Raw genomic sequence first — 25,935 nt, 5'->3', positions numbered from 1 at the left:
ACCCTTCTCACTACTACCCGATATTGATACAAAACCAAGCTCATTCTGCCCATCATGCAGACAGCAAATTACTGATATAATGAGTTTTGCAGTAGAGAAAGATTTATTCATAGGGAAACCCAGAGAGGAGACAGGAGAACAGCTCTCAAATCGGCTTCCCTGAAGATAAGGCTGGCTCAGGGATATTCATGGGGTAAAGAAGCGAGGTGGTCTAAAGCATGAAGAAAAGTGATTGGCAGTAGGGATAAATGAGGTAACTGATGATGTGTACAAGTGTAGTTGGTGTTCATGGCTCCTTATAGGATGCATGTTCAGAAAATGGTGGTGTTATCACGATTTGAGAGAAGAATCTTTGGCTCTTTGACATCAAAAGCTCACCTCTTGAGCATTTGTGCAGGCCCAGTTGAAAGGTCAGTGGTCTTAACTGGTTTAAGTTGGACAAAAGCTGACCCCCAAGTTCCTGAAAACAACTTAAGCAATTGTTACCATGGTGACATATACATCAGAAGCATTATCTCTAAAGGAGCTCATGAAGGTTAAGTTATAGTGTTTAGCAGTGTGGCTTTCAGCTACATGGGTTAAAAACAATCAACAAAAAGCAAGTGACTAAAAAGATTAGCCCTTGGTTTCAACAAGATCTTGGGAAGAGAGACAAGGGTGGGGAAGGTTACCTGAGAGACTGTGTTTTTCTCCAAATGAGAGGCTACTATCTAAATGAACTGTAGAAATTACTGCATAGGACTAAGACTAACTATGTAATACACTTGTTTATTCCTGTTAACCAATGACTAGAGACCTGGCAGGAAGCAATCAGCTATAGACAATAAAGAATTTGTATTTTCTCTGCGTATCTGAACTTGTAGTATGAGTGAATTTAGTGACCACTCAATAGGACTTGAATCAACAGTTCAAGCTTCTCTCTTCTTTTCTGTATCCCTAAAAATTATCAGGTTTTGATATCCAGTAGCATTCAACATTGCCTGCATCATTCATCTTGTCTTCAGCAGAAGTGTCACTGACAAAGCTGGTCCCCCAAAAGATAGAGTCTTTCCTTGTTTCCTGTCATGAAGCCAATATACAAAACGAAAAGTGAGCATCAAGCAGAGCAAATTTTATTCGATGGCCATAGAATTCAGATGTGGGGGCATGGCTCACAAATCAATTTCTCCACTAGTGAAGGGTGAGAGGGCTAAAATATAATATTTCTTTAATGAATGTTTATTTAATGACATTACAAGTAAGGGGAGAAATATTCATGTGTTTTCCAAAAATGGGCCGTGAACTCCCTGGAACCAGAGTTCTCCCTTCCTTTTTGTCGTTTTATGGCTTCTGGTCATTGCCATGGCGATTGTCAACAGTCACAGCACTGATAGGAGTGTCATTTAGCATGGAAATGAGATTATAATGAAACCTGAGGTTTTTTTGAAGTTGATCTCTCTTGGTTATAACCAGTTTCAGCTGGTCTGGCTATAAAGGAAAATTTTTATTGCAGGTATTCTTTTTCTTAAAGATCAGCAAAGTTAGGGCAGAGTAGAAATTCAGCTATGTCACACAGGCATTACGCTGGGTAACAGAAGGATATCAGTCCAGAGTTCCACTGTAGCCATTGGGAGCCATCTCTACCATATCTATCTACCCATTTCAGAAAGAATCTAACTTTCTCTTAACAGGTTGTGTTAGATGACTTAGTTATATAAACAACATCCCCAGGGGCTATCATCAGAAAGATGAATGGGTGGTGCAGAGGTGATTTTTTTCAGTGCTTTGAAACTATTTTGTATGATTATATAATGGTGGATATATGTCTCTGTAAACTTGTCAAAACCCATAGTCTGTACAACACACAAAGAGGATGCTAATGAGAATTTTAGACTTTGGTTGATAATGATGTATCAATGTTGGTTCATGGATTGTAACTGGTGCTGGATATTGATGGTTGGGGAGGCTGTATGTGGGAGTGGGGAGAGGGTATGTGAGAACTTTCTGTACTTTCTGCTCAACTTTGTTGTGAACCTACGACTGTTCTAAAAAATAAAGTCTATTCAACTCAATTTTAAAATTCAAAAAACAAAATAAAATAAAATATCCATCCTCTCTTGTCTTCTTCAGCAAATCTTGTGGATACTGAAAGAATAGCCAGTGTCCCAAAACACATTAGAAGATGCTCAGCATCTAATCAGGGAAGTGCAAGTCAAACAGTATTGGGATATCATTTTTGCCTCAAGTTACAGAAGTTTAGAACTCTTCAGCCCTTCCAAGAATATGGAGAAATGGGGATTCATATATTGGTGATATCACTGTGAAAGGCTACAAATATTGTAAAGTTACTTGGAACACTGTTATAAAATTAAAAAAAATACCCATTGACTCATAAATCACTAAGTCTAACAACCTAATAGGTCCCAGTATGTAAAAGTATATTTAAAAGAATGATCGTCACACTATGTTTTAATTGTAAATATGTAAAACAACCATTAACAGGAGAATGGTTGAATAAATTATACTCCATATTTACTATGGAATATTATGCAGCTACATAAAATGAGTTAAACCTGTGTGTATTAATCTGAAGTGACAGTTATAGCATATTCTAAGTGAAAAATGCATATTGCAGAGTAATGCGTGTGGTTTAGTCTTGGTAAACATAAAGAAACAAAGGGAAATAGGTATCTTTATATTTGTTAATGCAGAAAGATAAGGGGTAAAAGGGTAGAGAATAAACCGTTAACACTGATTACTTTGGGAATGAGGAAAAGTGAAGAGACTGTTGACTTTCTTTATATGCTGACAGTTGTTTTATTGTTCAAACAAGTAGGTACTGCTTTTGTAGCTTGAAAGCAAAATTCAATAAATTGTAGAGGGAATAAATACAACAAAAGAGATGCTGTGGATGGTATGGCCTCAGGGTCAAACATCTATAGTCCATCAGACTTTTTACATTGCCAAGAGTGACTGCCTCTTAGTACAGCTCCTGTGCATTACTATACTAAGAAATTCATCTCTTTTCTGTGCTTTGAGGGATGTTATAAAAATATAAACCTTCTGCACTCTGTGCAAGGTACATGACTTGCTGCAGGATGAGAAGTCTATTAGTCAAGGTTCAGTAAGTAGGTGAAGAGAAAGATCTCTACTCCCACCCCATCCCATCCCCGTCCTGTTCCTAAATTGGTATGCATCCAGCTTAAGAAGAATGTAGGGGGTAATGGGTCATGCCCCCAAAAAGGAGTTAAAGGGATGAGAAAATTTTCCTACTTAAAAAGGTTCTAGCATTCTATAGCACTGTAGGATGACTGAAGTTAGCAATAATATATTATGTAGTTTCAAATAGCTAGAAGGATATTGAATGTACCCAACACAAGGAAATGATAAATGTTTGAGATGATGCATATGCTAATTACCCTCTATATATGTATCACAACATCACTATATACTCCACAATGTGTACAATTATTACATGCCAATTATAGTTATTTTAAAAAAATAAAAAAGTATGTCCAGTCTAACATCAAAGCTCAAACATAATGTATTAACCATCTACTTATGCATAACAAATTACTTCAAAACTTACCAGCTCACCTTCCTGTGACCATGTGTTCTCATTGTTCAATTTCCACCTATGAGTGAGAACACGCGGTGTTTGGTTTTTTGTCCTTGTGATAGTTTGCTGAGAATGATGACCTGCACGTTGTGCACATGTACCCTAAAACTTAAAGTATAATTTAAAAAAAATTACCAGCTCATACAGTTTCTGTGGGTCAGGACACTGGGAGTGACTTTGCTGGTTGGTTCTGGATCAGAGCCTCTCATGAGTCAAGGTATTTTCTTGGGCTCATCAGAAGACTCAACTGGGGCTGGAGGACCAGCATTCAAGGGGGTCACTCACATGGCTAGTGAGTTAGAGCTGGTTGTTGTCGAAAGACCTTAAGTTCTCCCATGTGTGCCCTCTTTCAGGGCTGCTTAGTGTCCTTAGAGATAGGACAGTTGGCGTCTCCCAGAGCTACTGATCCTAGGAAGAAAGCAAGGATAATGCCACAGTGCCTTTTATGACCTAGCCTCAGAAGTCACATGCAGTCCCTATTGTACATTCTACTCCATTAGTGGCAAGTCACTAAGCAAAGGTCACACTCAAGGAGAGAGGAGTTAGGCTCCATTATTTGAAGCGAAGAGTATGTGAGAGTGTGTAAACATTAAGCTACAACCACCACACAATACTCATTGGTACCCTGCTGTTTTCTAGCTTTCAGGAATTCCTAAAAATTTCAGGTCCACTGAAGACATTCTTTTTCTCCAGAGGTTTGTGAAGTATTTTCTTAACAGCTTTTCTTTAACTTCATTGAGCTGTGGTGATCTAGGTTCTCCATTCCTTTTTTTAGGTCCTGTATTTACTTCCATTTATACAAGACCAGAACTCCACAAATTTTTGTAAAGACTTTTACTCATAGTTTTCCCCCCAAATCATGTATTTATTAATGCAACCATCCCAGGAGTCCATTGGAACTAATTCCATCATGACCTATATCCCTGTACTCATCAGCCACCATACAACCAATAGTGGCTGACTATAGAGCACTTACTCTATACCTGACACTGTCTGAATGGCTTGACACATATTCACATCAAATACACCAAGTCACCCCTCTCGATTGAGGTCTTCATTCACAGTCTAAATTGCTCTTTCTCCACTTCCAGTTGCCAAATCGTTTCCCTAGAGGATCCATGGCCCATCACTGGCAAGGTCCCTAATATCTTTGTCTCTTCTCTTGAATGTTTCCTTCACCTTTGTGTTCACACTGAAACCTGGCACTCCCTTGAAGCTCTGTCTCTATTGTGGCCCCTCATAGAGTAGATATTTTCTGTCCTGGGGATAGGGTAGCTCTTTGCTCCTTACTGCTGCTTCCAGTCCATTTCTCTCCATCCTCCTTAAAAATTTTTCAGCTTTGAAACTCCTGCTATCAGACTCCACTACTGGAACTGTCTCTCCCTTTTTTTTTTTTGAGGTGGAGTCTTGCTCCGTCCCCCAGGCTGGAGTGCAGTGGCGCTATCTCAGCTCACTGCAAGCTCCGCCTCCTGGGTTTGCGCCATTCTCCTGCCTCAGCCTCCCGAGTAGCTGGGACTACAGGCGCCCCCCACCACGCTCAGCTAATTTTTTTTTGTATTTTTAGTAGAGACGGGGTTTCACCGTGTTAGCCAGGATGGTCTTGATCTCCTGACCTCGTGATCCACCCGTCTCAGTCTCCCAAAGTGCTGAGATTACAGGGGTGAGCCACTGCGCCCGGTCCTTTTTTTTTTTTTCTTTTTTTTTTTTGGTCATTTAAAGACACTTCTGGTTACTCCCTTTACTTCCTTGAATATTTTAATTCCTACATTACTATCACTCTCTGTAATGCTATTATCATAATTCTTAGTGATTTTAATAACCATGTAGACTATCCTGTCAAAACCTTGGTGTTTCTGTTTTGTCTTATCCTCCGATAATTTTTGTTCTTACTCTAGCTCAGCCACATATTTCTATGTCTTATGCTAGATCTGTCCATTATCAAAAACTATATCCCCTCTGTTAATCACTATGTCCATCACTGCCTATATTTCCAGCTCTCTCCTTTTAGTATCTGAGGGAACAAATCTTTGACCTAAATAGCACTTTGTTGATCCTAACACTGTTTCTTACTCTTCTCCTGTCCTAGCTTCTCTTCTTACCCACCTTAGATTCCATGGTCCCTTTTTATAATCACTCTCTGGCAGAGTATCAGCTAATTTCTCTTTCCTTTGCATTTACCTAAAAAATCTCCAACCCTAGTTAAATCCAACTTTCAACCTACTTTGCCACGGAAACAAACAGTAGACAGTTGGAGAACAACACAAAGACCCTTTCATTCCACTCTGTGTTAAAGACACTGTGGGTTCAAGTATTGCTAGGCAACCTTATCATATTTTTCTAGTCCAAATTTGTTGCACATTAGAATATCCTGGGGAAGCTTTCAAAATAATCCTAATGTCCTGGTTATGCCCCAGACCATTTGAATCACAATATCGAGCTGGTAAATCAAGGCATCATTTAAAAAAATATATCCCCAGGTGATTTCAATGTGTAGCCACATTTGAGAACCACTGCCCTTCCAGATGACTCAGTTTCGTACATACTGGCTTTTTTTTTTTTTTTCTTTTTCTGTTCCTCCTGCATGCACAGTACAGTACTGCCACAAGGTCTTTGAAATGATTCTCTGCTTCTTCTGGAATGCTTTTTGACCATGAAGTTGCATGATTGACTCCTTCATTTCTTCAAGTTTCTGCTGCAAAGTCATTCATTAGTAATGTCTTCCTGAACTATCTCATATAAAATAGAAACCCTGCTCTTAGCACTCCTTACCTCCCTTGCCTGACTTTTCCTCTTTAGCATTTCTTGCCATCTGAAATATTATGTATTTATTTGTTAAACATTTATTGTCTCTCCATAACTACTAGAATAATAGCAGAGAACTTGTCCATTTTGTTTCTTGAATATTAACAAATATGCACAGTAAATTTATTTAGTGATGGATCAATAGGTGCTTAATAAATATATCTAAAACGGCTATGCAGCAAAAACTTCCAAGGATCTTATTTTCATCTAATTTTTGTGTTCAGGATAACTGTTTTTTTATGCAATAAATGCACTTTATAATTCTGATCAAAGGCTGGGTTGGGCCTTCAGTTTGGGATATTGAGAGCTTAGATTCTTTGAGAGCCATGAAGTCCCTAGATCTTATACATGAGTATTGCTGGGATGATAGAAAGAGATACCAACAACAATATAAGCAAATAGGAAATGTTACAGTTTCAAGGTGGTAGTGTTGTGTTTTGAGCAACAAAAAGAATATAGCACTAGAAGGAGAACCAGTTTTTACTCAAGATTAAGGCCCAGAGGGACAACAGACCAGTGCTTGCCACTGCAACATACATAGAAAGTAAGTTTTGTTGGTGAGCTGATGGGGTGGAAAGAGTGTCTGGAGAAGTGGGAGTGGCAGTAATTACAAGGGAGAGGGCTCAGTCTACTACACTTGATTTGGATACCAGTGGCGTTTTCCTTTCTGAGTTGGTAGCCGAGGAAGTATGCATTCAGCATAAGCTTTTAGAAGACGTAATACTAAAGAAAAGAGGATTTACAGGCTAATACTACATCATTTTTTAAAGCTATGGGCAGATCATATATATTAAGCGTAATGAACAAATCATCACAACAGATTAAAGATGAGTCTTTTTTTTTTTTTTTTTTGAGACAGGATCTTGCTGTGTTACTCATGCTGGAGTGCAGTGGTGCAATCTCAGCTCACTGAAACCTTCACGTCCCATGCTCAAACAATCCTCCCACCTCAGCTTCCCAAGTAGCTGGAACCACAGGCGTGCCACCACACCTGGCTAATTTTTTGTATTTTTGTAGAGATGGGGTTTCACTATGCTGCCCAGGCTGATCTCAAACTCCTGAGCTCAAGCAATCCACATGCCTGGACCTCCCAAAGTGCTGGGATTATAGGTGTGAGCCACTGTGCCCTGGCCAAGATGAGTCTTTAGTCAACATTTTTCAACTTTGCTCAAATTACCCTGATTTTTTGAGTAATAAACACAGGTAGTCCTTCCTAAGCACGGATTCTCCACGTGCAGTAATGATAAGTTTGAATCAATTTATAAATCTCTAGGGATAACAAATGTCATGTTTCTTTATTTTTCTAAATCAAAATTATATTACCAAGTTTCTGCTCATCAAAGCCCATGAGAATTTCAGCATCAGTTTCTTTTTCTCTACTGTATTATATTGGGATGATGGGCTTATGCAGCACAAGAAAATGTGGACAGGCTACATTTTGGAAAGTGATAAAGACTGTTCCATACTTAGGCCTGGGAATCAACTTGAAGTTTCCCAACCTCTGTGCCAGGTGAGTCACGGGGACTCTTGTTGGTTAGAAATTGTGGATAGAAATTTTATCCTTGTGGATAGAAATTATAATTTAAATATTTTCTATTTAACCATGATCAAAATCAAAAGCATGTACTCACGATGAAAAAGGCCAGAAAGAAAGATTCCTGTAGGGTCAGGCTCTTTGTATTTTCAACACGTAAAGCTTGTCATGTCTCCCCCTAGTAAAGTAAGTGAGAAGAGGTTGAAGAACTTTCACAATCTAGTGACATTGGGAGCACAAGGTACTAAGAGAACATGAAATTTAAATGCGTGAGGCTCTGTTTCTTGTTCCGTTTGTTAAGAAGAAGCAAGAAACTTTCCAAGATAGTCACAGGGTTTTCTGGAGCTATTTATCACAAGCTCCTCCTAGAAAAATTATTTCATTAAGTATACTCAAGCGTTATGTAATCACCCTGAGATGTAACCATCACTTGAAGAGTTACAAAACATATACTGTTCATTTTAGGTATAAAACATACATTATAGGAAACTGAATTTTTCATTAAAATTGCAAACGAACTAATCAGCTGTACGTTAGTCTGATTCATTACTCTGTAAATCATATAAGCTCTTCTTTTTCAGTGAAAGAAAAAATGTGTGTGGGAGAACTCATATCTTATGGTCTACTTCTTCTCCTTGATTCCACCACAAATAAAAGATGCCTTCACAGGTTCTAGTTTCATTATAATCTGCAAAATTATTCTTTTCACAGAGTTTAATCTCCATGGGCATTCATACGGCTGTTTTCCTCTGGGATCTTTCTGCTTGTGGGGTGCTGTGTTTGAAGAATGTGCAGATATTCATGAATCCATGACATGGAGCTCTTTCAAGTGACCCATCTTCTCCTGTTCCTCCTCTAGGAGAATGAACTCCCTTGAAACTGTGCCACCCACTTCCCCCCCAAAGCTACAGTCTCCAGCCATACCCACTTGGTGGCCTTTCTCGTTTTGAAGTGTATGGAAAAAATACAGTTTACTACTCTCCTGCAGTCAAAGAGCTTCCAAAGTAAGAAGTGGTAGAGAAGCATATAACATATTTGTTGGTGTTAATGAAGAAGCAAAAAAAAAGACATGTATTCTCTAATGAGGCCATAACAGAAAAAAGAAAACAATTAATTTCTCAATAATTTTTTCCAAAGAAATAAAATTTAGCAGTAAACTTAAGAATAATAATTATTCTTTAGCAGCATAGGTGTCAACAACTCAGCCTCAACACAGTCTTACAAACTGGGAGCTCCTTGAAGTCAAATGTTTTCTTCTCCTCATGTATCCTCAGCAGTGTGTCTCCCCAGCACTTACAAAGTGTTAAATAAAAGCTAGATGACCACACCTGAATCAAGTGAATACTGACCCTAGCCTTCTCGTACGGACTTTATAGCTTAAATATCCCAGGTTATAGTAATGTATTCTTTAGTTCTTATTCTCTACTTTCTTTTCATTCTCCGTATTTATTTATATTGTTAAGCATTGCATTAGTTTCCTGTGGCTGCTATAAAAAATGACCACAAACTTGGTGACTTGAAACAACAGAAATTTATTCTCTCACAGTTCTGGAGGCTAGAAGTCTAAAATCAAGACCTCCACAGAGCTGGTCAAGTCCATGGCTCTCTCCCATCTTTCTGTGTTTCCAGCAATCCTTGGTGTTTGTTGGCTTGCAGATGCATCACCCCAATCTCTGCCTCTGTTTTCACATTGACTTCTTTTCTGTGAAAATTATTTCATTAAGTATACTCAATTGTTCTCTCATGTTCTCCTCTTATGAGGACAACACTTGTCTTTGGGTTTAAGATCCACCCAATCCAGGATAATCTCATTTCAAGATCTTTAACTTAATTGTATTTGCAAAGACACTTTCAAAATAAGGTCACCTCCACAGGTTCCCGGTAGACATATCTTTTCAAGGCCAACATTCAACCTTACAATCATCTTTGCTTTTTAAAATTATGGGACCGTCTTCCTCCTTTTGACTTTGATGCACAAATCTTTCTATCTTTGCTCCATCTAGATCTACACAGATGTCTCTAAGATAAAATAACCCATCATAATTAATTCACTAGAAGTCAGGGGACCTGGGCTTTGCTTTTGAATTTTTCAGTTTTCATTACCAGACAATGTGATCTTTGGTACTATTAATCACTTTGAATCTTATTTTTCATGTTGGTTGCAAATGTAAAAATCAATTAGACCTAGCTTAAGAAAAAGAAAAATTCATTGTAAATTGTAGCAGCATCCCATAAAACTTAAGTGCAAGAATGTAGCCACACCTTAAGAAGACATTAGATGATGAAGTTGGGAAGTTTTAGCACTCTCTCTCACTTTTTTGTCTCCATTTCTGTCTGTAATCTATTTACTTCCTTTTTTTTCTGTTCAGATGGCTATTTTCCTCACAAAAACTACCAATTTAATGTTATAGTTTAATCTACATGGACAGTTTCTTTTCATCTTTCCCCACCACTTCCTGACTCTCCTGTTTCATTTTCTTCTCTACATTTTTACTTCCCAATTTCTACTTCTTTCCTAGTTCCAAATTCCTAAATGAGGGAATCAGAGTGATCTAACTGGGATTTGATAAACTTCTCTGATTCTACCAACTCTGATCAAAGATAGGGTCACATTACAAAGAGATAAATTTTGAGAATTAAACAATATGGATTCAGAGTAAAGGCAGTTACAGTGAAGAAAACATTTGGAGTTTGACAGGTTCACAAAAAATGTGTACCACATTTCTCTCCTATAAAATGGAGCTAACACTTTCTGCTATGCTCACTTTACAATTAAAAAAATTTTTTTGAGGGTCATAGCAGACATTGTGTTTAAGAACACATTGAATATTATTACACACTTGGAAGAATTGTTTTGAAGTTTTATAGTGCTAGATTTGGGTTCCGAACAAGTGGCAGACCTGATCTTGATGAAAGAAAGAAGATAATTCATCCAGTTGTGAAGTGGATAAAGGTTTTCTAAGAGCTCATCACCATGACTCCCAAAGTTTTGATTGTCTTCATAATGATGGGAAATCACAATTTCAGGAATAGGAACAAAGTTTTTGTGAGAGTTAGGAAGAATCCAGAGGTGCAAGGTGTAAGTGGTGATGTTTGTGTGTGGAGGTAATCCTTCCAAGTTTATCCAGACAACAATGGCAAGAGTAAGAACTGAACTTAAATACTGATGCACTTAGACATGGAAAATGCTGAACTTTATGTGTAATGATTTGTCAGTTATTTATTATATGATTATTTATTTTCTGACAGGTCATAAAAGCAGGATACATCATTGACAACAGAAGTAATTATCAGTTTTAGAATAAAAGCAAAAAGATTCTTAGGTTTCTTGGGGCACTATAATACAGTGTTGATGTTGGGAGGAGTAAAAGAAACAGGTATATCTTTTAACAGGTTGGTCAAAGAGGTTACATGTGTTTTTCAAGAAGGTTGTCAGTTGGAATTATTGTTGCTTCTGCCCTTATTCCAATGGGGCTGGTACAGCAATAGTGCCTACTTTTCCAGGCTTTGAAGCATGTCTGCATCAGGACAGGCCGACAGTCCTGGAAAGGGCACAGAGAGAAGCCTGGAGTGAGCTCCTGGAGTGAGGGAAGCCTGGACTGTACTTAGGGAGATTTGAGTTCTTATTCTCAGGATCTTCTTTCTGTCCCTCCTTTTACTGTTTCATTAAAACAAACAAACAAATGAGCAAACAAACGAAAAACCCCAGCTAGCCAAATTCCTGTAGTAGACCTGGTGGGAAAAGTCAAAGAGGTTATCCTAAGACTTTACATCTGCACCAGCTGAAGAAAATCTCAGACGGCACATGTGAACCAGGCCTGGTCATCAGACACTGGACTTTATTTGGGGACAAATGTATGCAATTTCCTGGAGTGTAATCTGTGCCGAACATGCCCTATTAAGAATTTATAGCAGGAGACAGCTGGCCAAAGATTTGGGGTCCTGGCTTTCTACTATCACTGCTAATATGAGGCACATAAGCAGGTGCTCACTAAATAATAAATTAATGAACAGTCTACTGAACATGTCCTTTTGCAATATGGCACTGAGAGTCATCTGTCTTATTTTATGAAGCATCAGTAGTTTCTGATTCATACTCTGTGAAAATGGCAGTGTTCCCCGGAGGCAGAAATGCACAATTTTTCCTTGGCAGTTGAGAACACCACTACATTGCTTGTCTTCAGTTACAAATGGAGAGATTAGTGTTGGCCATGAGAGCAGACTCTTCTTCCCCAAAGAGGGTCACAGGGCAACAGAGGTAGAATAAAGATACAGAGAGACATTTGGTTAAGAGGAGAGATTTGAAGGAACACATGTCAAAATGCCTTAATATTCCTGGTAAGGTAGGATACCAAGTCACTGACTAAGACTGGAATGAGTAGGGCTATAGTTGGTGATTTGGAAAAGCCACTGTGTTGAATGTGATATAAGGCAAAAACATACTCACTTTCTTCAGATATCTGTATATCTCATATTTCTGTGGTTTACTCAGGTCTCTACTCACATGTCGCTTTTTTACAGAAGTCTCACAAGCCCAGCCCATTAATAAAAATGCCTCTGGCCGGGCGCAGTGGCTGACGCCTGTAATCCCAGCACTTTGGGAGGCCGAGGCGGGCGGATCACAAGGTCAGGAGATCGAGACCATCCTGGCTAACACAGTGAAACCCTGTCTCTACTAAAAATGCAAAAAAATTAGCCAGGCGCGGTGGCAGGCGCCTGTAGTCCCAGCTATTCGCGAGGCAGAGGCAGGAAAATGGCGTGAACCCGGGAGGCGGAGCTTGCAGTGAGCCGACATCGCGCCACTGCACTCCAGCCTAGGCGACAGAGCCAGACTCCGTCTCAAAAAAAAAAAAAAAAAAAAAGCCTCTGTATTACCCTTGCTCTGTATTATTTTATTAAAAATAATGTGTGACATTATATTTGTATATTTATGAATTTGTTTATGATACTTCTCCCTACCAAGAAGAAACCTTCATGAAAAAAGGTAACACTTTGTTTCATCTGAGTCTTTCAGGAAACAGAATCTGAATTGGAGATAGGAGTGTGAAAGGTCTATTGTGGAGTGACCTATGAAAGCAAAAGGGAGGAAGCGAGAATAGGGAGTGTGTGTGATCAGGCTGTGCTGTAGATTTGACAAAGTCCCTCCCAACCCATTGGGGAACACTGGAGAGATGACGACTTAGTAAAGGAATCCCATATTGGTAGAAATGGCCTCCGTACCACAGTCTTGTTTAGTCATTGGCTGGGAGACCCCCAAAAGAATATGACCTTGAATCAAAAGCCCCCATGGACTTGGAGGTGTTAACATCTTGAGACTCTTATCTGTCCATACTCTTTGCGTATAGGTAACAAATTCTTTCTTGAAGAGGGAATCTGAATAGGTTATCTCCACACCTTTAATAGTCTACCTTTTATATGGCATGGATACATTTTCAATATACCTTCAGGCAGTACCTCTTTAAGGCTTCCACGAAGCCTTTCTTTCTGAAGAGAAACCTAGATGATGGAGATTAGTGGGAAAAACTGTAGCCTTCATCTTTGCAGTCTGTCTTGGGGCCACAGCTGATACTATTATTTTCTTCTTCATCTATTAATTCTAACTTCCCCCTCACTTTCAGCTCTTACTTCTAAAGTTCTCAGTGGCTTACTTGTGGTTTCACCGCAACCCTTGTTCCTGAGATGTCTGAGTCTAGTAATCCCATCCTTCACAGGTAGAGGTTATTGCACTTGAACATTCACAATCACAATTGTCAAGGAATTACCAAGAAGTATCTAATCTAAATGAATCACTGAGTTCCACAATTATTTCTTGGTGTCCCTACTGTGTAAAAACATCCCTACCTCTTCCTGCTGTCACAATTTCCTTTTCTTACCTGCTAGTCCTTGAATATAAAAAGTCCAAAACGCCCAGGTGGCAGTCATAGGTTGTAATTCAATGGCACCCTTGATGTGTCCCTGTGTAGGGTGGGCCTTTTGGGGGCACCAGGACCTTTAACATTGCAAGGCTCAGAATAAACAGACAGAAGGCACAAATTCTCCCAAAGGGACACAGAAATGATGGTAAGTGGGGATACTTCTGTTTTTACTTCTTGGACTTGGACCTATGCATTATTCCCACTAGTGACACAGCATCGTATAGACAGATGTCTCTGATCCAGTGTACATACTGTGTTTTGGAAGAAAGCACCTTATCTTTGCAAATGGTTTATTCCAAGCTGGTACTTCAGCTATGTCTTTAGCAGGTCATTCCAATATCCTCTCAGGCAGGCTGCTTCTAAATTATTCAGCTTGTGGTACAGTTAGTGGATACCATGGTCATGGGCCCACTCCTGCACCTCCTTTGCTGCAAGGTGGGTCCAATGGTTGGATGATTTATAGAGCAGGATTTCATGCTTGAGGATCTAGTAGTCTGTAAACCCCCAATAGAGGTGCAGATAGAGGATCTCCAGGCAGGAAAAGGAAACCATTACCTAGAGTAAGTTTCTGTCCTGTGAGGACAAACTGCTAACCCTTCCAGGAAGAAAGGAGCCCAATGTAGTCAACTTGCCAATAAATAGCTGGTTTGTCTCCTTGATAAATAGTGCTATACTTGGAGTACATTATTGGTCTCTGTTACTGGCAGTTGGATAATCAGAGGTGCTAGTAGTTATCAAAAGCTTAGTGAATGGCAATACATGCATAGCCTCTATCTCTGCCACTGTTGAAGATGTTCCTGTCAAATCAGGACTAAGTTGATCACTGATAAAAGCTGGCTAATATCAAGTGGCTGAGTCACTCCATCTACTTGATTGTTTGGTGATTCTTCTATGGTTGATGCTTCCTGGTAGTAACAAATGTGTGATACAAGGTTCACACTTCATGTCCACTCTCACATATACATCCACATGCCTCTATTTCAGACTTTCTTGTCTGCAGTCTTCCAATCCTTTTCCTTTTAGGTTCCTGACAAACAAGTCAGGCTATTTGTTATGCTTATGAGTCTACACATATTCTAATGTAGGGGCACTTCTCATTTAGCAAAAAGTAAATAATCAAGTGTACCATCCAAAGCCCCACCAGTTAGGAAAACTTTCCTTCTGCACCATCTTTGAAGGCTATCCTTGAGTGAGGCTATAATGCATCTATTTTTGACTTGTACCCACATATTGAGTTGATGCATCCACAAACCAAGCTAGTACATTTTCTTTATGCAGAAACTTCATAGTGAACTAGGGAAGGGTGATGCAGATACCACCCTGGCTGGTGACATGGAGATTTAGTTTACATGTTTATGCAACTTGCTTTTATGTTTTTGCCTTCTGGTCCTGCTTGTGCTGTCTCTGATGTATACTGTGGATCTTTTGAATAATTGTTACTGGGCCTATCTGACTTTACAGTTTTGAAGGTCAAGCAAGATCTACTTCATGAAGAAAAATTCTAAATGCATGATCACTGGTGTCCATTGTTGCCAAACATTCTATCTCTACTAGGGCCTCGTAGCTTGCCAGGGGCTGATTTTCCAAAAGTTTGTGATTCTCTGCTCTACAAGGCATAACCCTGCTACAGAACCTCAAAGACTCACGTTGTGATTCTTCCTCTAGAGCTTGCCATATGTTCTACACTACTTATTTTTCTACCATTGACAGCTACAACAAAATAAGGTCTGCTAAATCATATAGCCCAAGTGACAGGTCTAATTGCACTACAACCTGTATCTGCTGCAGAACTCCTTCTGTTCCAAGTCCTACTCAAAGTTGCAAGGCTATCATGTAATATAAAAGCTAGAGCATTACACCTAGTTTGTGGACTTACTGCCTCCAGAATGAAAAGGGGCCTACCAAGTATTGTGCTTCCTTTTTTTGTGGTATGGGATGTGAGATGCACCAACTTGTTTTATTTGGAGGGAGTGTCGTAGCATACCTCTGACCACAGGATTTCTGAAACCAAAATGACAAATTTCTGAGTGTTCAGAGTTTTTTTTTTCTCTCTCTCTGTAGTACATGTATCTTACCAAACCCTCTAGTATGCTAGCCACATTGCACTCACCCTGTCTGATCAACATGATGTGATTGATATGGTGGATCAGTGTGATGTTCTGTGGCAATGGCTTTCAGAACCATTGGATGAAAGGAACAGAATCTAGCATGAGCATTGAGGAGAAGCCTCTGCATCCATACTGCAGAACTGAGTCAAAGGAACACCTGCTTCTTTTACAATTAGGATGCAGATTGCTCCACATTGTACACCGCTACAACCAGCATTAGAAATCCACAAAATTCAAAAGTTCACATATTTAGAGAGATGCTTCCTCTAGAGTCGCACTGCATTTGCTCTAATCTACTCCAGCAACATTGCCCAGGGCCCTGCTTCTCAATACCCATAAGGAAAGGCTGGAAGATGGCACCTTGGTTCAATTCTGCTGCTGAAAAATCAGTCCCTGTGCTTGTCAGTAAAAATGGCAAAAAAAAAAAAAAAAAAAAAGAGGAAGATATGTAGTCTCTGTCTTACTACCAGCCTCTAAATATCTGATGGGCTGAACCAAAATCACCTTGAGAACTGTAGTTTCAAGGGAGTCCAGGAAATATACTTTTTAGCCTTTCACTCTCTGCCATTTGGAAAGGCAAACTAGAAGAGTGAAGTAGATGTTGAACATGAGTCCACCATTTTCATCTCAATAACGATCCCTCATCAGATGCTTTTTGAAAGGATTAAATGTGATAATATATGGAATTGCTTATTATAGCAGCTAAATGTAGTAATATTCAATAACTGTTGGGTCTTCTTTCTTAAACCATTTATTCATAATCAAGAGTATTAATTTTCAACCCCAAATCATGTCAATAATATTCAAAAGATGGATTTACTGTCAATTTGTCCATCTGTGATGTAACTAGGTATAGGATTGACAATTTAAGTCAGTGCTGTCCGGTATAGAACAGTATGAACGGTTCTATAAGAATAAAATGCACACTGAATTTCAAAGACTTAGTGTAAAGTAAATGTAAAATGTCTCATTAATAATTTTTTACTAATTAAGTGGTGAAATGATATTTTAAAGAAATATTGACTTAATAAAATATATTATTCAAATTAATTTTATTTCTTTATTTCTGCATTTAAAAACTTTGACCACTAGAAACATTAAAATTACATATGTAATTTAATTATATTTCTTTTGGACATTAATGCCAGAACTAGTCCCTGAACTCTACCTTCTAAGTTTGCGTCTCCCTCTTGTGAGGGTCTTTCTGTCGCATTTAGAGTTCTCCTGCTTCTCTGGTTTTAATTATCCATATTACAGTTTACATGAGGTATTTTTAAAAAATTCATTAAAAACATTATGAGAAACCACAAAGAAATATGACTACATCTGACTCTGATATTGGCTCTCCCACCCTGTCCCCTAAGTTATGAAACTCTGGAACATTCTGTTTTCTCCCTGTACTAATCTGAACACAGAACTTGGCACCTCTTCAAGTCTGCAAAATAATCTCCAAAAGCCTGGGTAAGCAATGATAATGGCATTCTTGAAGAGCTGTAAAAGAAAATAGATGAAGGACTTTACATTGCACCCTTAAAGCAAATCTAACACCCCCTCCAATTAGTCATTTCTAATGTTTTCCTAAATCCCTTCTCTGTTACTCAATGAATAGGTCTTCTGGCTCCCTCCTACTATTTCCTCCCTCTCTCCACTATCTTCCTGCCTCACTGGCCTCTTCCTCCGCCTCTAAGATTCACTCCTGTTAAAATTCCTCATCCCTTTAGTAAGCGGAACAATTTAATTGCTGTATTGTGTTCCTTCGGCATTTCCTTAGGGTCTCATACTCCAAAAAAAGTAATTTCTTTTGAATAAATACAAAGTCTCCCTAAGAGGAATTTTGGGAAATATGATTTTCTTCATTTCATTACACAGAATAAATTGGATAAGTTTAGAAAGTAAAGATTTCAATGCTAAGAAATTTGGTAAATATAATAAGGAGCTTTACCAAGTCTCAAACCTCCTTAGTGTAAGACAATCATTCCTCATCACATTTGGGTTGATATAGTCTACCTGCAGCTTGCACATTCCGTTCTAATAACAAGGCAGGTTCCATCTTGTTTTACACTACAAGAGCAGTTCATCAGTCTGAAGACAAGGCCAACACATAGTTTTCTCATTTATGTCCCTTCCTACCCCCATGTGTCCTTAATAATCTCCCTATGATAACAAGTTTCTTAATTTAAGGTCAAAAATAGGTCATAGTTCATTTGTGTAGCTGTGTTAATTAACCCTCCAAATTCCAAGACAAGAGCTCATCCTTGTTGGCTCACTTTATCAACTCTTCCACATTCTTCCAGTTCTTTGAAATTTATCTCTAGTATGTCTCATTTCCTAAGATGATGATTTTATCAGAACATAACCAATGTAATATTCAGTATCATACTACCATATTGAGAGTTGAGAACACTAGAATCCCAATAATAATAAAACTAGGTTTCATTTATCAGCTAGCTACAGCTCTAAGTTGCTTTATATGCAATTAGCGCATTGTAATTATCATAACTACAGAAGAGGCAGGCATTATTATGTCTATATTGTACCTAGGAAACTACGGCTTAACAAGATTAAGGTATTTCCCCCCAAAAAAAACGACATTCTATTTCCCATCAATGTGATGTTTCATTCAGGGTCCATACTCCATATACTTCCCCACTGCTCTGAAGTCCATAAAGTTCATTATAAAAGCATAGGGTTTTGGAATTGAAGGGACTTAGAGATTATCTAATCCTATATACTCACTTTACAATTACTACAGATGTCCCAACTAATTAGAGCCATTCTTACCCCAAGACTTGGTTGATAGAATATTATACATTTAGGGACATCCAGGAGGTAATGATAGTAACTTGGCTTGCAAAAAGGTTTAAAATATCTTTTTTCTTAATGACCCTAAATGAAGGCAAATGGCTTTCCAAGAACAGCTCTTTCAAGTAGGGAGCAACATATCAGCTGACTTGTTACCAGCTTTTTATTTGCATGATCAGTGTATTACCATCAACTTTTAGTAGCAGATAAAGGTATTTAAGGAATCAGCCTCAAGATGAGTAAACTTTATCGGAAAAGGCTGTCACAAGCTTGGGTAGCTGTCTTATGGGCTTATTTCTTAGTCCTTTTGGGCTGTTGTAACAAAATACCTTAGACTGGGTAATTTATAAAACAGCAGAAATTTATTGCTTATAGCTCTGGAGGCTGAGAAGTCTAAGATCAAAGTGCTAGCAGATTTGGTTCTGATGAGGGTCTGTTTCACATAGATGGCACTTGCTGTGTCCTCAGTTGGCAGAAGGGGCAAGGAAGCTTGCTTAAGCCTCCTTTATAAGGGTACAAATTACATTTATGAGGGTGCAGCACTCATGACTTAATCACTTCTTGAAGGCCCCTTCGTATCATATTGGGTATTAGCTTCTGACATACGAATTTTTGGGACCACAACATTCAGACCATAGCAGCTTTGATACTGTTTGGGTATATCATGATTAATCAGCCGGAGGGTAGTGATTGCATCAGTGGAAACAGGGAATGCTATGAAGACAAAAGTCAAGTTATTGAGCTCAAAAGATACACTGCTTACTTTGAAGTGTTTTCCAGGACTAACCCAGAACGAACTCCTCCCCATGCGGAAACCTTCCAAATGCTTTTGCCTGGTTGTTATAAATTGATCTCATATGGCACTGCCCATTAAGTTGGAGAGCACGCTACAAATATGTATTCTACAAATGTGTACTCTGTGTTTCGTAGACTTTACGGTTTTCTAGAGGATGGTATGATGCCTATCTCTGCTGAATATCAAAAAGATCTTCAGAACGGAACAAAAATTGCTTAATTATACATTGTTCTTTCCTATGGCCAGACATTCTTTTGTTGTTAGAGAGAGTCATTATGTAATAAAAAATCTTGAATTTTGGAGTAATAAAAACAAAGTGTTCCATCGTATATTCATTTACTAAAAATATTTATCAAGAGATGACTCTATGTTAGTAACTGGCAAATGTTATAAATAAGACTTGTAAGGCTACTACTCTCATAGAACACAGATTCTAGAGAGAGGAGTTAGATAATTAATACATCAATAAATGAGTAAAATAAATCTTATAAGGACAATAGGATGATAAGATTTGTGGCAAGGAGGTATTTTAGACTGGGTAGTCAGAGAAGGCCTCTCTTTGGAAGCAGCAACTGAGAAGGAAACATCATATAAGTGAACAGATAGAGGCCGATAGGTCATAATTTAGGGCAGCTATAGGTAATACATAAAGGAATGGGTGTGGGTGTGTACTAATAAGTCTTGCTTTTTTTTTTTTTTTTTTTTTTTTTTTTTTGAGACAGAGTCTCACTCTGTTGCCCAGGCTGGAGTGCAGTGGCACAATCTTGGCTCACTGCAACCTCCGCATTCCAGGTTCAAGTGATTCTCCTGCCTCAGCCTCCCAAGTAGCTCGGATTACAGGTGTGCGCCCTCACACCAGGCTAATTTTTGTATTTTTAGTAGAGATGGGGTTTCACCATGTTAGTCAGGCTGGTCTCGAACTCCTGACCTCGTGATCTGCCTGCCTCAGCCTCCCAAAGTGCTGGAATTGAGCTATCTCTCCCGTGTAAGTCTTTATTTAGAAAAACAGGCAGGGGTGCGGGAGTCAGATCTGGCCTGCAGAGGAAAGCATTTCAGGCAGGAGGAATCTGGGAAGTTGAAAGGCCAAGGCTGGGTGTGGGCTTTGTATTCTTGTATTCTTAGAAAGTAGTATGGCTGGAGGCTAGTGAGAGTGAGAGTGATAGGGTGTTGGAGACAGAGGTACAGGCCAGGTCAGGTAGGGCTTTTTAGACTTATGAAGAAATTTACATTTTATTCTAAATGCAAAAGGAAGCCACCAGAATGATTCACGCAGGGAACAGTGACACAATCTGATTTATATTTTAAAGAGGCTCTGGTTGCTGAGCAGTTACTATTTTTAGGGAAGCTAAAGTGGAAGCAAGGAGAGTCAGGAAGCTGTTACAGTAATCCTAGGAAAATACCATAGTGAAGACAGGGAGAGCTGGAAGTGTAGCAGTTTGAATTTCTCTCTTCATGGCTCCTTAACTATACATGAACTTTGAACTTCATTTCCTTCATCAGCTAAGTATAGATAAAATTCCTATTCTCTTTGTTAGGATAAAATAAGCCTATAAGGCAAATGTCCAACAAATGGTTAGATGTCGGTTATGTTAGTTCTTTCTTTTTCTTCTTTGTCTAAAGCTCATACATTTTTTTTCTTCCTTCTCCCCTTTCTTTCTTTTTCTCCTTTCCATGGATATTTGTCTCCTTCCATAGATATTTAATGGTGAACTGGTTTGTGCAAAACACAATACTTGGTAGTGGAAGATATAGAGAGATCTTGTTTTTAAACATTTATTGACTTATATAGTTGGGTGCTCAAAAAAGCAGAACCTTTAGTTTTCCCTTTAGTTTTTCTTTTCTTTACTTTTTTAGTAAGGCAAACTGCCATTTTAAAGTCCTAGCTAGTTATATAAATAATAATGAAGAAAAAATCATTTTGGAGAAGATCTTAGTTTTGGGCAGAATCAACTAAGGGTGATATACAAAAAACTCCTTACATTAAAACAAAAATTAATTTAACATTGGTTCTGAGAATATACTGGAAGTTTTATCCTGGGAAACATATGTACAATTTTTTTTTTTTTTTCGTGACAAATATGCCCCAACCCACAACCCTTGTATATATGCAGCACAAGATTACTGGGGACGATGAGGTTATTAAAATAGCCACTGTAATTAAAGTGGTCTTGATATGGTTTGGGTGTGTCCCCACCCAAAATTTCATCTTGAATTGTAATCCCCATAATCACCATAATCCCCAAATGTCAAGGAAGAGACAAGGGGGAGGCAACTGAATCATGGAGGCGGCTTCCTCCAAGCTGTTCTCATGATAGTGAGTCAGTTTTCACGAGATGTGATGGTTTTATAAGTGTTTGATAGTTCCACCTGTGTTCATTCTCCTTCCTGACACCCTGTGAAGAAGGTGCCTTGCTTCCCCTTTGCCTTCCACCACAATGCTAAGTTTCTTGAGGCCTCCCGAGACATGCTGAACTGTGAGTCAGTCAACTAAGCCTCTTTCCTTTATAAATTACCCAGTTTCAGGCAATTCTTTATAGCAATGTGAAAATGGACTAATATACAACTGAAGTCATTTGGTAAAATAAGCTTCAAGATTCCTCTTTTCATCTCTCACTGAAGGTAAGATCACCATGGCTAAAGTGGGGTGGATTTATCCTGAGTCAGATTTATGCTCTTGCTCTGTATGGTTCATACCTTTACAAACGGTTTTTAAATTAAAGCCTAAAGTCATCCCAATTTTTCTCTCTGAATGATTTACCCTCCCAGAAGAAATGTTTTCAGCTAACTTGTAATTATCCCTCTTTATGATGTAGCATAGTATTTTGGAAAATACACTCGCTTCAAATCAGCCATGTACCAGCTAGCTGCATGATGTAGGACAGATTCCTTAAAATTTGTAAGATCCAGTGACCTCACTTATAAAATGAAGCCTTTGTACTAGATCATTCCAATGTCTTGTGCTCAGTGACTCAACAAAAGGACCAAACTGCATGTCTGCCCCACAACTTTGGAGGCAAAGAGTAAGACGGTCAAAAGTAGAACTCTAGCAAGGTATAGTAAGAGAAGCAATAGAAGTTGTTTGTAGAGAAAACACTATACAGCTTAATTTTGAAACCATATTATTCTCAGATTACATGTTTTTAAAAATTGCTTTAGTTGAAAAATTTTATAAACTGTTGGTAACAAATTTTTAAACCACAATAATAACTCTCTGCCTAGTATTCTATGTACCCCAGCCCCAGTGTGAACATTTCATTGCAATCAAGTCCTAAGAGAAAACATCAGAAAGGCTTTAAGATAATACCTTATAACAGCAGGTTCATTTATCTGGGTACTTGAACATAATGAAGATAGACATTCTTCTCTCATTGTATAGGATACCTATAAATAACCAAAGCCCAGTGAACTTTATGGCAGAAAATAATTTAAAGTAATTAGGATTTTTAAAAAGGAAAAGGAAATAGAGTTATGAGAAGAGAGATATGGGATTAATACAGCAAAGGAGAAGGATTAACTCTAGTTTTGTATTCATTACCCAGAAAGAAGTCTTTGGATCATTTTTGTGCATGATGGGAATTTCACATGCAGAGAGGACCTGAGGAATTTCATATGCAGTGAAACATCACCTTTTTGCATTTAACTGAAATTGATGTTCATATTAAATCTATTTTATGTGGGAATGAGTAAAAAATTGATGATTTTAAAAATTAAAAAATACAGTTTTCTACAATATTTTTGTACTAAAAAAATTAGATTGCAATTCAAATGCTAAAAACTGGCTAATGACTAATAAATATTGGACACACCTATGCTGAATTATTTTGCATGCTTTAAATATTATGCTTATGAAGAGTCTGTAATACTATAGAGAAAATCTTTTACTTTATTAAGTGAAAAAGTAAAATGTGACTTTTATATAAAATATTATCTCAACATAAAAAAACTAAAAGAAATGCTCTTTCTATAATGTCCAGTTAGTTGGATTTTGAATGATTCATTCATTCTTCTTTATGTATTTTTTATAATATCCTATTTTTTCCAAATGGGTCCACAGTATTTTTATTTGTAATTGGAAAACGAAATACTTAATTTGAAAACCTCCTTGTGTATAATCTGATTAAGTCTTGGAATATATAAGGAACCTCTTAGATTGTTTTGGAAAGAACAGTTATTCATAAAGGCAAATAATTAATCAGAAGATATCTGGTAGCAATAAAACTGCTGAAAGCAGAAATGCTCTCTTTTTTTTTGAAAGGGTAAAATTAGAAAATTATCATTACAGGACATTGTATTGTTGGTGATAGTGTGAAAGTTTAGTCTCCTGGCTTTCCCACCCCTCAGAGAGCAGAAAGCATTTTCTTCCTTATAGAAGAAGATAAAGCAGGGCCAAGTAGAGAGTGATATTCCTGAGCATCAGCTGGTACAGCAAACACACAATAACAATAGCAAGCAAAACAAAACAAATATACAACAAAGTCCTTACGTTAAAGCAAAAATTAATTTAGTGCCTGCAGCAAAGGAAAGCTCTTTGCCCCTTTTCAACTACCTCTTTTCTGTTTGCGTTTGGCACCTCTCTTTGCCTGGTCTTTGGTGACCACTTGAATGCAACTCATTAATTTCAAGGCTAAATCCTCAACCTTTTGCTTTTCTTTCTCTATAATCTCTCTCTCTCAGAGATATTGTTCATTCTTATAGCTTAACTTTTTCACCTTATATTGATAGCTCCCTATTTTATATTCTAAGAACTTCTTACCTATCTTTTCAACTTTCTGCTGAGTATTTCCACTTAATGTCTTTAAAGTCATCTCTAACTAAATGTGTTTACAACCGAACTCACCCAAACTTCATATTTTTAGGAACCACCTCCTGCTTTCGGCACTCAGAATGGTAAGAGTGTTCTTTCATTCTATCTTCTTCTTCATGATCCATACTAGATCTGGGACAAATTTCTGATTTAGCCTTTGTAACAACATTTACTTTCCATCTCTACTCTCATCCTTTTGGTTCAGGTTCCTGTCATCTCATTGTTGGTGACATTTTGGAAACATGAAAACATATTCTGAATGTAGTATGAGGTTCTCAGTTTGAGGCTAACTTGCATTTCCACTGGGATTCAGACTTGTCAGAGTTGAAGTCCACAGGAATCCATTTGCACAAAATTTATGTGAAAGAACTTCTGTGAAGGAACTTGTACAAGGGGAGGGGAGATGAAGGCAGAGGTTGGAGAGGGACAGCGTATTTCCTGTTTCCCATTGTGATGTCTGGAAGAGGTGCTGCAGGGCAGCTGTTGTCATGACGGGCTCTGTAGGAATAAGAATGTCTGTTTCTGGCCGGGCGCAGTGGCTCATGCCTGTAATCCCAGCACTTTGGGAGGCCGAGGTGGGCGGATCATGAGGACAGGAAATCGAGACCATCCTGGCTAACACGGTGAAACCCCGTCTCCACTAAAAATACAAAATATTACCCGGGCGTGGTGGTGGGTGCCTGTAGTCCCAGCTACTCCGGAGGCTGAGGCAGGAGAATGGCTTGAACCCGGGAGGCGGAGCTTGCAGATCGTTCCACTGCACTCCAGCCTGGGCGACAGAGCAAGACTCCATCTCAAAAAAGAAAAAAAAGTCTGTTTCCGTTTCTATGTAATGAAGAGCAATGCCACTTGGAGAAGTTTTTCTACTCTTTTGAGAAGACTGAAAGAAACAGTGTCAGTCAGCATGTCACCTGTAGAGGGTCGTGATTGCAAGTTGTCCAGGTTCTTGGTGTTTTGAACAAAGAGTTGGACAAAACGCCAGCAAAGCAAAGAAAGAATGAAGCAACAAAAGAATGAAAGAATGAAAGCAGGGATTTATTGAAAATGAAAGTACACTCTACAGTGTGGGAGTGTGCTGAGCGGTAGTTCTAGGGCCAGGATACAGAATCTTCTTGGGTCCAAATACTCCCTAGAATTTTCCCATTGGCCACTTCATGCTCACCTCATGTCAGTGAAGTGGTAGCTTGCCATCAGTCTGATTGGTTGCAGAAAGCAGCCAACCAGGGGCTGAAGTGAAGTTACAAAGGTCACACTCCTGTGCAAACATCTGATTGGTTGTCAATCAGAGGCTAGGGTGAAGTTACAAAGTTATACTTCAATGCAAACGAATACTCCACCCACAATCAATCTGATTGATTGTGGACAGCAACCATTCAGAAGCTGGAGTGAAGTTACAAACTTGCAAAGGAAGACTGGACCTGCAATCAGTCTGATTTGTTGCGGACAGACAATTTCCCATCTGCCTGCAGAAAAGGTCAAAGGCAGTAGCCTCTGGTCCTTTTGTTACTTAGGCGTGTAAAGTTAGGATTTTCCTTTCAATTTAGTTCTAGGAAGTCGGCATGAAACAGCCTTAGGT

General features: G+C 38.5%; 1 long non-coding RNA gene across 2 annotated transcripts; it reads right to left on the bottom strand.

The window, feature by feature from the left end:
* Positions 1–986: 986 nt before the first annotated feature.
* On the bottom strand, positions 987–24,921 carry LINC02819 (long intergenic non-protein coding RNA 2819). 2 transcript variants are annotated; one of them, XR_922189.4, is made up of 4 exons: positions 24,393–24,921; positions 22,860–22,936; positions 8,032–8,112; positions 987–1,059 (listed from the first exon to the last, which is right to left on the bottom strand). It is a non-coding gene; the product is annotated as a long intergenic non-protein coding RNA 2819 (long non-coding RNA). The 2 variants fall into 2 exon arrangements; XR_922190.3 differs by lacking the exons at positions 987–1,059; positions 8,032–8,112 and adding an exon at positions 17,294–17,448 and having other exon boundaries at positions 24,393–24,453.
* Positions 24,922–25,935: the final 1,014 nt, after the last annotated feature.

Source organism: Homo sapiens, chromosome 1 (genome assembly GCF_000001405.40).
Source record: "Homo sapiens chromosome 1, GRCh38.p14 Primary Assembly".
NCBI lineage: Eukaryota > Metazoa > Chordata > Mammalia > Primates > Hominidae > Homo > Homo sapiens.
Note: the sequence above shows the minus strand (reverse complement) of the source record. Positions and strands in the feature narration are given on the sequence as shown.